This window comes from Homo sapiens, chromosome 14 (genome assembly GCF_000001405.40).
Source record: "Homo sapiens chromosome 14, GRCh38.p14 Primary Assembly".
NCBI lineage: Eukaryota > Metazoa > Chordata > Mammalia > Primates > Hominidae > Homo > Homo sapiens.
In genome coordinates this window covers 61,641,330-61,654,927 of record NC_000014.9, presented here as the reverse complement: position 1 = coordinate 61,654,927, position 13,598 = coordinate 61,641,330, and the positions used below count along the sequence as shown (strand labels likewise).

The following is a 13,598-nucleotide window of genomic DNA, read 5'->3' as shown; positions in this document are numbered from 1 at the left end:
TTCTGGGTGAACTTCCATTGCAGTCCATCTATTTGGCTTCCTTCCTTGTCTTACCCTGTTTTTTTCTGAATGGCAGGATTCTCTTTGCTATACAGCCAATCAAAAAATATAATTTATTCTTCTCCTGTTAGTTAAATAATATTGTTTGGTTTATAGGTAGGGTTAATTTTTATTTAAAAAACATGTAGGTGTAAAAATTACAGAAGAATATACAAAACACTTTAACCATTTAATCTTCAGGTAGTAGGAGTTGTGGTGATTTTTATTTCCTTTGTTATACTTTTCTGAATTGACTGATTTTATTCCCAGTAAATTCAGTTTAAGATGACAAAATCTCTGTTTTTTGTAGTTATAAACTTGTACTAGTCATAAACATGTGCTAGCTCCAAGTGAAAAAATTAGTGCTGTTCAACATAAATTCTCAGGATATTATACTCGAGAGCCAGTAGGAATAAGGGCAAAGAAACAAGCGTTAAGGCAAGTAAATTAGATGATGAGAGAAAACCTAGTCTACAAAGTTACCATTTAAATCTTGAACTCCGGACAGCTATTTCATAAATGGTTTTCTTTGGTCATACAAGGTGACCATGGGTCATATAAGGTAATGTTAAAATCACAAGTCAGGGTTTCTGTCTGACTGCTGGTGGGTCAGATATCTTCCCCTCCCATGAAAGAAAAGTCATTCTTTAGTGTTAATAATCTTGTCATGTCTGTAGAAATGAGCACTTCCTCTTCCACCACCAAGCTCCCCACCCCAAATTCTGCTTGGGACATTATACTGCAGGCTAATGATCTAAACAAAATTAAGATTCATTAAATTAACAATTCCATTGTTCCTAATTAAGATTTTACTTTGCACTTAAGATATTGAACCATACATAGCCCTGTGTATATTTTTAATGCAAGCAAATATTAATGAAGCAAATTTGTCATTTTCATTTGTGTATTTTGGACAAAGGTTTGTTTATACTCAGTGAAATGATAATTTTTTCTGGTAATTTCTCCTTTTCCCAGCAAAGAATGCTTAATCTCCTTTCTGAAAATGATTTGATTTGGGCAGCAAATCCTACGTTGAGAATTCTTCCCAGATCTCAAGTTATATAACTGAACAGATGGTATTCGCATGGCTTTGACAGGTCAGGCTGCTATCACAGGACATCCTGAGGAAGCAGCTCGGAAGCCTTCCCGAGGAGAGTGGGAAGATCCCGTGAGCAAGCAGGCACGTGTGGCTGTGGGATTGGGTGAAGAACTGCACTCTGACTCAGCTTCCCATCTTCATGGCCCAGGAGCAAATTCCTCAGGATCCTGAAAGAGGTACAAATAATCCTGCAGAAACTAGTGGTACATTTGATTGAATCAGAAAAATAAACAAATCTTTCCTGTGGGAGAAAACAAAGTCTCTCAGGGAATGTGATACAGGAAGAGTGATTTGGTTTGTGGTCATGGTTGAAGTGCCACAGGTAGATGGACAGTGAATTGGATGTGTTCTAATTGTACCTTGGGCTTGCAGCATGATGGGGCAAAAATGGGAAAAATATCCCTGTCTTCACAGAGTTTGCAGCTTATTGGGAGAGAAAAAAATCACTCAGTCAATAAATACATGAACAAACACACACATGAGAGTGATAAGTGCCAAGGAGAAAAAAAAATGCTGAGAAGGGGGATACAGAGATATGTGTATAAAATTTTAGATAGAAATCCTCTTTTAAAAAAGATGTCATTTGAGTAAAGAAAGACCTGAAGGAAATGAGAGAGAAAACCATGTATATAGCAGGGAAAGAGAACTCCAGTAAGCAGAAACAGCCAATGCAAACGCCCTGAGCCAGGGAAATGCCCGGAGTGTCCAGGGACCCATAAAAATCCCCATGCGGCTAACGCAGAGCACACTGGGGAAGCAGTGTGCAAGATGAGGTTTGAAAGCCAGTGTGAGGTCAGATCATACAGAGTCTTGAAGTTCACAGCCTGGAATTGCCTTTTCATCTAAGTGAGATGGAAAACAGGAGGGTCTGGAGCAGACAAATGACATAATTTGGATTATTGTTTACTGGGATCGCTCTTTGTAGGAAATAGGTTGTGGGGCAGCAAGGGCAGAGGCAAGGGGCAGGGCAGTGAGGGGCAGGGAAGAAGCATCTAGAAGGCTATTGAGATAATTCAGGCAAGAGAGGAAGGTGGATTGGACCAGGATGGTGGCAGTCTAAGCAGCAAGAAGTGGGTAAATTCTGGATATATTTTGAAGGTAGAATCAACAGGTCTGGTTAATGGATTAGATGCATTGTATGAGAAAAAAAAAGAGAAGTTTAGGGTTATTCCAAAGTTTGGGGGCTACACAACTGGAAGGATGGAGTAGATCTGAGAAGCTTAATAAGAAGGAGGAGAATGTGGGAAGGGCAGGTTTGGAGGATATCAGGACATCTGTTTGGAATATATTATGTTTGAGATGTTGAGTGGGCAATTGAATGCACAAGTCTGATGTGCCAAGGAGAGATTTGGGCTGAAAATATAAATGAGACAGTCATCAGTACAGACAGGGCATTTAAAGCCATGAGGCTCCATGAGTTCACCTAGTGATGGATACTGTGTACAGAAACCAAAAGAATATGCAGAGAGTGATATTCTGTATGGAATGCTGCTGGTAAGTACAATGAGGCAAGCTGAGCATTGGGTTTAGCCATATGCAAGTCATCATTGATCTTTATAAGAGCAGCTTTTTAGAATCTAGGGCAAAAGGTTTGCTGGACTGGGTTCAAGAGAGAATGCAGACATTGGACACAGCGAGCAAAGACACTCCATTCAAAAACATTTGCTTTACAGGGAAGAGGAGAGATAGTGGTAGTTGGATGGGAAGACGGGATCAAGAGAGGATTTAAAAATTTTTTTAATTGAAGAACTATATATATGGTAAAGATGCTTACTGCTTGTGTATCGCTCTATAATTTTCACAACCAAACACACCCAAGTAACTAGTACTCATTTCAAGAAAAATAATAGTGCTAGTCCCCAAGAAGTCTCCTGCCTCCTCCCTCTCAATCACTGTCCCCACCCAAGGGCAACAACTATCTTGAACTGACTTCTAAAACCCAATTCATTTTCCCACTTTTGTACTTTGCATAAATGAAATCATACAGTTCATGCTCTTCTGCATCTGTTTTTTTTGCCAGTATGTTACATTTGCAATATTCATCTATATTGTTGCCTGTAATTACGGTTTGATCATTCTTATTGCTATATAATAATCTATTGTGTGAGTATACCAAGATTTATTGATCCCTTCTACTGTTGCCAGGCAAATGGGTATTTTCCAGTTTTACAAATAGTGCTACTATGAGCATTCTAGTACATGTCGTTTGGTGAGCATACGTACACACTTTACTGGGTATATTTCTGTGAGTGGAATTGCTGGGGCATAGAGAATGCATATATTCAGGTTTAGTTTTCCAAAATGGCTATATCGATTTATGCTCCCACTAGCACTGTAAGGGAGACTTTATCAGTAATAGAGGTGATATTATAACATCTTCATCTGTTACTCCTTTGTCTTATATCTTAATTTTTTGAGAATTAAGGGGATGAAGAGGGGTAGTGATTACTGGGCCCGCTCAAAATCTTAAGGAAGAGACTGCTGCTCATAGGGTTGTTGTGAGGAGTGACCGACTGTAAAATACCTGGCATCATCCTGGCCCAGGATATGTATCCAGCATATGTTAGTTGTTGCTCTAATTTTGTAGTCACCCTCTCAGCCTTGTCTCCAGGCAGAGGTCAAGGTAAAGCAGTGATAACTGCAGTTTCCTTCTCCTCTAAATCACACTCATCCATCCAATTTGCTTTATAGCACTGGGAAACGGTGAGCGCTCAGGATGCTTCACTGACCATATTGCAGGACCAAGAATAAATAACACAGAAGCTCACCTACCTCTCTTCATAACTTTCTCTGCATCCTCCTGTTAGACCAGGCATTTCATCAGGTTCCTGGAGGGGTTAAAGAACAGTCATGTGTTCGATTTCATTGTAAATCATCTAATAAACCATCTATAGAAAAAGCATACACTAGAGATGGTTTATACCACCACTGAACTCTAATAGCGGCAATCCTAAGGCGGGCTGGTTAAATTATAGCTGGATGTAATTCCTTGCCGTTTGCTGCTATCTGGAGATGTTCGTTGTTTATTTAACAAATAAATTTAATATACTTCTGCATTTAAAAAAATTTCTTTCCTTATAGGTATGTCCATCCAAAAGGAGCATATGTGACTAAAATCATCATGATATCCAAGGAGGTGAATTGATTTTTACAGGATTGTGTCTGATTATATCTTTTATCTCCACATCAAAAAATAATTAATGGAGTTGGTGAAAATCAATATCTTTCAGTGATGTAATCTAGGTAAAACCAAAATCTTCTCTGTAGTATATTTACATATACTAAAAAGGATATATATACTTTATTTTTTAGAGCAGTTTGGACTTACAAAACATTATAAAGATAGTAAAGAGAGTTCCTATGTACTCCATATCCAGTTTCTCCTATTATTAACAACTTATATTTGTATAGCACATTTGTTATCATTAGTGAGTCAACACCTGTATATTATTAACAAGTCTATACTTTATTCAGATTTCCTTGGTATTTATCTAATGTCCTTCTATTTCCTTGGTATTTATCTAATGTCCTTTTTATTTAATGTCCTTCTATTTCCTTGGTATTTATCTAACGTCCTTTTTTTTTTTGAGACAGTTTTGCTTTTATTTAATGTCCTTCTATTTCTTTGGTATTTATCTAATGTCCTTTTTTTTTTTTTTTTTGAGACAGAGTTTTGCTCTTGTCACCCAGGCTGGGGTACAATGGTGTGATCTCGGCTCCCTGCAACCTCTGCCTCCCAGATTCAAGCAATTCTCCTGCCTCAGCCTCGCGAGTAGCTGGGATTACAGGTGCCAGCCACCATGCCCAGCCAATTTTTTTATTTTTAGTAGAGACGGGGTTTCACCATGTTGGCCAGGCTGGTCTTGAATTTCTGACCTCAGGTGATCCACCTGCCTTGGCCTCCCAAGTGGCATGAGCCACTGCGCCTGGCCCCTCATGTCCTTCTTCTATTTCAGAATCTCATCCAGGATACCATATTACATTAGTTGTTCTGTCTCCTCAGGCTCCTCTTGGCTGTGATGATTTTTCAGATTTACCCTGTTTTTGAGGAATACTCATCAAATATTTTGTAGACTGCTCCTTAATTGGTATTTATCTGATTTTTTTTTTGCACGATTAGACTGGATTATGGGTTTTTGGGTAGAAATTCACAAAGATAAAGAGGCTTTTTGTTGCATTGTATCAAGAGTACATTTCATCCACATGACTTCTTACTGTTGATATTGATCTTGATTGCTTGGCTTATTGTCATGTTCTTCGCTGTAAAGTTAAACCATGTCTATGCTGCACCTTTTGGAAGGAAGTCACTACATATAGCCCACATCAAAGGAGTAGGGGGTTATGTTCTACCTCTTTGAGTGTAGAATATCTAAAGACATTATTTGGAATTCTTCTGCATGGGAGATGTGTCATTTTTTCACGATTTATTTATTCGATTATTCACTTATAATAGTATGAACTCATAGTTATTTTATACTTTTGCTTATAGTCTAATACTGCATTATTTTGTGGTTCACATTGTTTCAGGTTTGGCCATGAGGAGCTCCTGTTGAAGTTGGCTCCTGTATCCCTTTGAGATCCTCTTATAATTTTGTGTGTGTGTGTGTGTGTGTGTGTGTGTGTGTGTGTGTGTCTGTGTGTGTTAGATACTTACTTTCTGGCACTACAAGATGCTCCAGGGCCAACTTGTATATATGCTAACCCAATCTTACAATCAGCAATTTCTCCAAGGAGCTCTAGTTTCTTTTACTGGAGAACAGTATTAAAACCAAAATCTGGGCACTAGAAGTTCTCCTTGCTACTGGGGTGTCATTGCTTTCTAGGCTCTCTTAGCTGACGCAACAAGGAAATATGTATACTAAGCTCTGTATATATGTACAAATATCTATAAATATTTCTATATGTAACCATAGGTATCTATGTTAAGCTAAACATGAGTGAATTCATACTGATAGCCCCAACTCTAATTCATTACCACATGGACCAGTCTAGCCTATTCCCATTGTTTATCTGTGAACCCCATGAGAAATCTGGCTCCCACCATCCACCATGCATTTACTTAATTGCTAATTCTGGTATAAATGTAGAGCAGTATTAGAATTGTTAACTTGAAACCTTATGGGAAACAACTTTATTAAGTACAGTTTTATGTACATTTTCTTTTGCCTTTAGTCTTACAGACTCCTCTCATTTCCAAAATCACTTAGCTCAGCATCTTTTCCTCCCACTTCCTTCAGTGAAGTTGCTTTATAGATTTTTAGTACAGTTAGATTGTTTTGTCACTGCAGTCCATTCTAGGACCCTTGACCTTCTAAATGATCTTTAAAATGTGCATACACTAATGTTTACTCTTTGTTCTATAAAGTTCCATGGATTTTGATATATGCATTGTCATGTATCCATAATTACAGTATTATGCGAACAGTTTTACCACTCTAAGAAATTCCTCCTGCTTAACCTATTTAATCCTTCCTCCCCTCTCCCTGAGCCCCTGGAAATCAATGCATTTTTTTAATGTCTCCATAGTTTTGCCTTTTCCAGAATGTCATGTAATTGTAAACATACAATATGTAGCCTTTCAGATCGGATTGTTTCACTTGGAACTACGCATTTAAGATTCATTCATGTCTTTTTGTGATTCAACAGCTCATTTATTTTTATCATCAAATAATATTCCAGCAACTGACTGTACCACAGTTTATTTATCCATTCACCTATTGAAGGACATCTTATTTGCCCCCAGTTTTTGGTCATTATGAATACAGCCGCTATAAATATTTGTTTGCAGGTTTTTATGTGGATATAAATCTCAAATCAGTTGGGTAAACACCTAAAAGTTCAAATGCTGAATCATATGGTAAGACTGTGTTTAGCTTCTCTGGCCTACTTAGCTAGCATGTGCCACTCCTCAAAATCAGGTGGTGACTACCCCTACGATCATCGACAGCCAACACCGTCAGTTATTTCACTATTTCTTCCACCCTCATTCCAATTTTCAGTACGTAAATACATCTATTGAGTGACCCTACTGTGTAAGAATAATCATTCTTTATATTTTTCAAAGTTCTTTCACATGCATTATCACAATATCTCTAAAATAGCAGTACAGGAGCCAACCTGTTCCAGGCAGAATCCTGGCTCTGATCCTAACCTACGGCCTGACACAGGGAAAGTATCTAAATCTTTTCACCTGTAAAAGGGGATACTGCAGCACCTATCTAAATGTACCTGTTCATGCTGTGAAGATGTAATGAGTGTTTAGGGCAGCGCCACTTCTTGGACCACGTCACACTGCTGTTTGGAGGCTGGGCCAAGATTAGAATGTGAATCTTTTGATTCTTATTCCTATGCTTCTTCCCCTAGAAATGAGATTATTCCCCCAACCTCTTTTCCCTGCAACCTCGGACAATATGGGAGCCTCAGTGACATCAAAGCAATTGACCTCACAATCAATTTAGGAAAGGCTCTGGTAATTTTTGTGCACATGCATGGTAGGGGAGGGATCTGTTTATAGTCAAGTAGGATAATCCAATAACCATTGACAGAAATAGTCTTTTCTTGTCTTTAATGAATAAAAAGAACAACAGACTTCATTTTAATATCTAGGCTCTTAGATCAATCAATGGGCTAAGTACTGAAACAGTTTAAAAATCTATGAATTGAACTGCATGAACATGAATCTGTGCATTAAATTCTATGGACATAAAATGAATCCGTTCAAAAACAAGTTTGGGCAGTTTACATCTGGTATGTAGTGTTTTCAGAGTAAGGTTTTAAGGTTTAAGAGGTTTGAAAACTCTGTATCCCAGCCAGAGAATGCTTATCTGCTTTATGCTAGTTTTTACCTGCAGAATTTTTGTCTCTGTGACATCATATATTCATTTGCTGCTATATTTTAGAATGCATTGCACAACAGTGGGAACTGATCTAAGAAGGTTAATCATATTCTGGCAGTCGCTGAGCAGGCTGGCAATTAATGAGAAAGTTTGAAGAAGAATGTTATTTCAGAATACACCACAGCCTATTCTATAGGGTCAAGTTGACTTTTTATTTTCATTTGGTTGCTTATATAAACAGTGAAAGTGCAAAAATCCTCAAGGACTGACAAGCAAAGATTAATATTGTGTTTACAAAATAAGCAAACACAAAATATCCACAATGCTTTCACACACACACACACACACACACACACACATGCACACACATATACACATACATGCGTGCACAAACACATCTTTGTTGCAACCTGTTCATCTTGGGCTAGAAGTATGTGTGGGACGTGACTAGAGCTATCCGTGAGGATCATCAGGATTTCAAATAACTTGCAATGATTGGTATCAGTTATAAAAACACTGAATTATCCAACTGATCATGGCTAGAGTATAGTTTGGAAACCATTTATAAATAAAACTACATTCTAGTCACAACAATTTAATAATATAAATATATAGAGAAATTTAAATATACAAACATTTCAAGTAAATGCTAATTGTGACCTAATGTCTTTACTAGAGAAGAATAATATGAAAATTCATCTAGTGTTCTGTTTATAACTCTAATGCAAAAGATAGTTCTCTATTAGTTGAGTCAAATGTTTGTATCTCGATTACAGGCATCAGAACTTTGAGGTCTTTACTGACCTACACTCCTATCAAGACAAAAAAAAAGGAAGAAGTGTGGCATTTATTTGTCCATTAGTTCATTCATTCATTCTGCAAATATTCAGCATTTACCTTGTACGTGGCATTGAATTTGGCCCGAAGAACAGATAACCTAATGGTGTTTGGAGAATTGAAATAGTTATACTGCAAGTAATCTAATTGATTAAATCTTCTTATTTAAAGTTGAAGACTGAGGCAAATTAAAGCAGCCAAACAATTTTGGCTAGTTTTACCCATGCACTCTCGTTATGTCCATACCCACCTTCCACTAAACTTCTCTTGTCATTCTTCCCTATTTTCTAACCATTATTATAACTCCAACAGATATATTGTCATTTGCATTTATATACAATTAAGTTGGTCAATGATCCTAATCCATTCACTTCAACTACATAAGTACAATGTTAGTGAAATAAATGTGTCATTTAAAAATGAGGTCTGATCATACCATAAGACAGGGCAAAAAGGAAAATAAAGAAAATGAGGTCTAAGGTTAAAATATTTCATTAAAAAACATCAAAACTGAACACAGAAATGATCACAATAGAAGCAGACAGCCATTCCTTAGAACCTCTTTCTACTGTCTATTTCCTGAAATGGTTTTTCTCTAGTTTATTTCATTTTGTATCACAGATGACTATTTGGTTTAGTGTGTCTAATTCCTCTGCAATTAGATTTGCAGAACATATTACTTCATTTTAATAAAAAGTTTTTGAATCACAGCCAAATTGCTGTAGGACAAGCAGATTTTGTTTTCTTACAATTTCATTAGTAAAAAAAAAATGAGGATACCAATATTGAAATGTCACAAATATGGAATTTTAAGTCAAACATCTGTGTTCCCTTAAAGGAGAATATCTTTTCTGAAGCTTGGGAGCCTCCATTAGTGAACAAATTAGTTAAACAGACATTTGCAATGAAAAAAAAAAATCCCATCAGTTTTGTTGAATTATTTTTGTTTTATTATGGGTTTATTTCATTATTAAAAGTAGAAAAAATGCATAAAATAATAGAAGAATAAGAAATAAAACAATTACTTGAGGCTGTACTAGGCAAATGATTCTGATGTGCTTCACTGAACACAGGATGTAACCTGAGCCCCTGTCCCTGGCTTGACAGAGCATCTGTTTCTCACAGATGCCTGAAAAACACCCTGCTCCTCTAGATGCTGGGGCGCTTTTCTGAGCATTGCATTACCTTTATCAAAGAGTGCAAACACGTATTCTATTTGTAAGGGATGGATGAATGTAGATGGTTGTGTTGTGCATACCATCTATATCCTTCTATGTATATATGCTCTTGTACCCAAAAGAAAAGTCACACTTAATTCATGGTCCATGGCTGTACAAACAACAAGAAATACCACATCTAGTACTGCAAAAAAGCAAGTGGAAGAACCAGTATCTCTTATTTAGATATACTGTAGTAGTAAAAGAGAACATACCCAGTACAAAGGAAGGGGCATCTGCTTTTCTTAGTTCTGGGGATTGCTATGTTTAATAACTTCAGAGGAACACTGATGAGGTGGAAGGCAAGTGCATGTCTCTTTTTTCCCCCTACTGCATACAGAGCCCTGGTACAGAGCACTCAGTGGATGCTCATAAATATTTGTTGAGTGAATGAAAGGAGAACAACTAGAATTGTGATGCATTTCTAAAACAGGACTAAAACAGGCCATGTGGTTAAAGTAAATGAAGATACTTAGCCAGAGAGGAGGAGACTTAGGGAGCACAACAGTTCTCTTTGTATTTGAAATAAATTTTCACATAGAGGAAGGGCTAGACTCACTCTGAGTGACCTAGGGAACAAAATAAGCAACTGTATAAAGAGGAACATGAAATTAGAGCTGCCCCAAATGGAAGAGTAACCACTGGAATAACTCTTGTTAACCATTCTAATTCTTACCTAGTTTCTACATCTTCCTGTCACCAAAGTTGCTCATTCATTCACCCATTCATTCAAAAACACATATTTACATGGGTGAACACATCTCCAAACTCATCAAACTGTATACATTAAATATGTACAGCTTTTTGTATGACAATCATATCTCAATAAAGTAGTTTTAACAACAGCCACCACCACCAAAAGTCCCCCCAAAAAATACATATTGAGAACCTTCATGCTTACAGGTACTCTATCAGGTTCTGGGGAAATAACTGTGAACCCAAGAAACGTGGCCTCTTTTCTCATTCAGTTTATAAGCTGGTGAAGGAAACAGACAAGACAGTCAGACAAATCCTTTACAAATGATCATGCAACTTTGGTTTCAGTAAAGTCAGTTGCTTAAATCAAAGTTGCATGATCATTTGTAAAGGATACCAAAAAGGGAAATCCTGAATCATGTGTAAGGGCTAGACAGGATGATCTCACTAGTCTTTCCAACTGTTGAGATTCCTAGGATACTATGCTTTCTCCCTGCATTCTCATCTCAGTAAGTTGTCCCGTGATGACACCCAGAAGTCATTATGTTCAACCTCATCCTCCTCATCTCTACTTTCAAGTCACTAGTGACTCCTGATCATTCTAATTCTAGTTCCCACGCTCATCACAAGGTTGTCCTCATGGTGGCTGGCTGACACCTCCTGAGTCCGCATCTCCGGTCTAGTAGTGTGCAACTCATAAAGTGCAGCACTCCATGAGATCCTAATGCAGTTGGTTTGCTGATCATAGGTTCAGAAATAAGATTCTTCTGTGTGATGGGTTGAATGGTGGTCCCCACACAGATATATCCATGTCCAAATCCCTGGAAACTGTGAATGCTACCTTACTTGGAAAAAGTCTCTGCAGATGTAATTAAGGATCTTGAGATGAGATCTTCCTGGATTCCCCAGTGGGCCTTAACTCCAGTCCCAAGTGTCCCTCTAAGAGACAGAAGAGGACACAACAAACACACAGAGGAGAAGGCAATATGAAGATGGAGTCAGAGAATGAATGGATGTGGCCACGAGCCAAGGAAGCCAAGGACTGGCAATAGCCACCAGAGGCTTGAAAAGGCAAGGAAGGATTCTCCCCTGTAGCCTCCAGGAGGAGTGTGATGATACCTTGATTTCAGACTTCTGGTCTCTATAATGATGAGAAAATAATTTTTCTGTTGTTTTAAGCCTCTTAGTTTGTGGCAATTTGTTTAGAAGCCCTAAAATACTAACCCATTATGCCTCCCACCATCCAATACAAACAGTTCATCACAGTGCTATCAGGGGGATCTTGCTAAACGTGAATCTGACCAACATATACTCCCGCTTTAAACCCCTTGTCTCTCTGCAACCCGTAGGCAGCACTCCCTTTCCTTGCCATGATGCCATGAAAGACTGTTCACTTGTATGACACACTTCCCTCGGGGGACACAGGTGATGCTCAACTCATAGCATGATGAAGTCAATGCCTCTGTCCCTCCCACTCAAGAATTCATATGAGAATGGAACTGATGAAACTTTTACAGGGATAGATACTCTAATTTAATTTAAACAAAATAAAAACAGAAAAGAAATCATCTTCAGTCTGCTCCTGCTGTTAGGTTACTTGGAACACACCTCCATGCATCGTGCTCCACTGACTGCTGCCCTGCCTTCCTCTCCAGCTGCCTCCTAGAGCACGTTTTGCTTCAGCAGTGCTGACTCACATTTAGTGCCTAGGACACATGGTAGTCATTTGTGTGTCTTTGCCTTTGCACGTCTTGTTCCCTTTGCTTGGAATGCCCTTCCCACACATAGCCACCTCACAAACTCCTATTCATCTCATAAAGCCAAATTCGTATTCCATTTACTCCAGGAAGCCTTTTTGCCCACTTACATTTTGATCATTCCCTTTCTTATGCAACGATCTTACTGTTTATAAAATATAAAGTTTTATTTTATTACATCATATTGTAATTCTTTGTTTATGTATCCATTTCTTTGAAAGCCAGGCCATATTAAACTCATTTTATTCAGCCTTAAAGAAAAGAAAAAAAGAAGAATGGGTGTGGATGGGTGTGGAGGACATGCTGAGTGAAATATGCCAGACACAGAAAGAAAAATATTGCATGATCTCACGTATATGTGGATTAGTTTTAAAAAGAGGTCTCATATACAGAAACAGTGAGTAAAATAGTGGTTACTATGGGCAAGGGGAGGAGAGGAAATGCAGTGATATGGGTCAAAGGATATAAAGTAGCAGATATAAACAAATCTAGAAATCTAATGTATAACATGAGGACTATAGTCAATAAAACTTACATTAGGGGTCAGGTGCGGGGCTCACCCAGCACTTTGGGAGGCCGAGGTGGGTGGATACTTGAGGCCAGGAGATCGAGACCAGCCTGCCCAACATGGTGAAACCCAGTCTCCACTAAAAATACAAAAATTAGCTGGGCTGTAATCCCACCTACTTGAGAGGCTGAGGCACAAGAATCATTTGAACCCGGGAGGTGAGGTTGCAGTGAGCTAAGATCGCACTATTGCACTCCAGCCTGGGCGATGGAGTGAGACTCTTTCTCAACAAACAAACAAACAAAAAGCTTGTATTAGGGATTTTTGTTAAATAAGTGTATTTTGGCTGCTCTTGTCACACACACACAAAAGCAACTCTGTGAGATGATAGATATGTTAATCTGCTTTATCACAGAAACCACTTTCCTGTCTATGTGTACCATAACATCATGTTATAAACCTCAAATGTACACAAGAAAATTTATTTTTAAAAAGATGAATAAACTCATCTTGGTATTCTGAGTGCTTAGCATATAGAAGAAACCCATCACCATTCTATTGAATGATATTGATCCAGAATTTATGCTCTGGAATTGGTGAGCATGTTTG

General features: G+C 38.0%; 1 long non-coding RNA gene across 1 annotated transcript in view; it reads right to left on the bottom strand.

Annotated features, from left to right (window-relative positions):
- Nucleotides 1-214: 214 nt before the first annotated feature.
- LINC03033 (long intergenic non-protein coding RNA 3033) overlaps nucleotides 215-13,598 on the bottom strand; it is an 84,174-nt gene continuing 70,790 nt past the window's right edge. Inside the window, exons 2-3 of the long non-coding RNA NR_039985.1 lie at nucleotides 3,911-3,966; nucleotides 215-1,305 (exon numbers count right to left, since the gene is read on the bottom strand). This is a non-coding gene — a long non-coding RNA (long intergenic non-protein coding RNA 3033). The remainder of the gene's footprint in view (nucleotides 1,306-3,910; nucleotides 3,967-13,598) is intronic.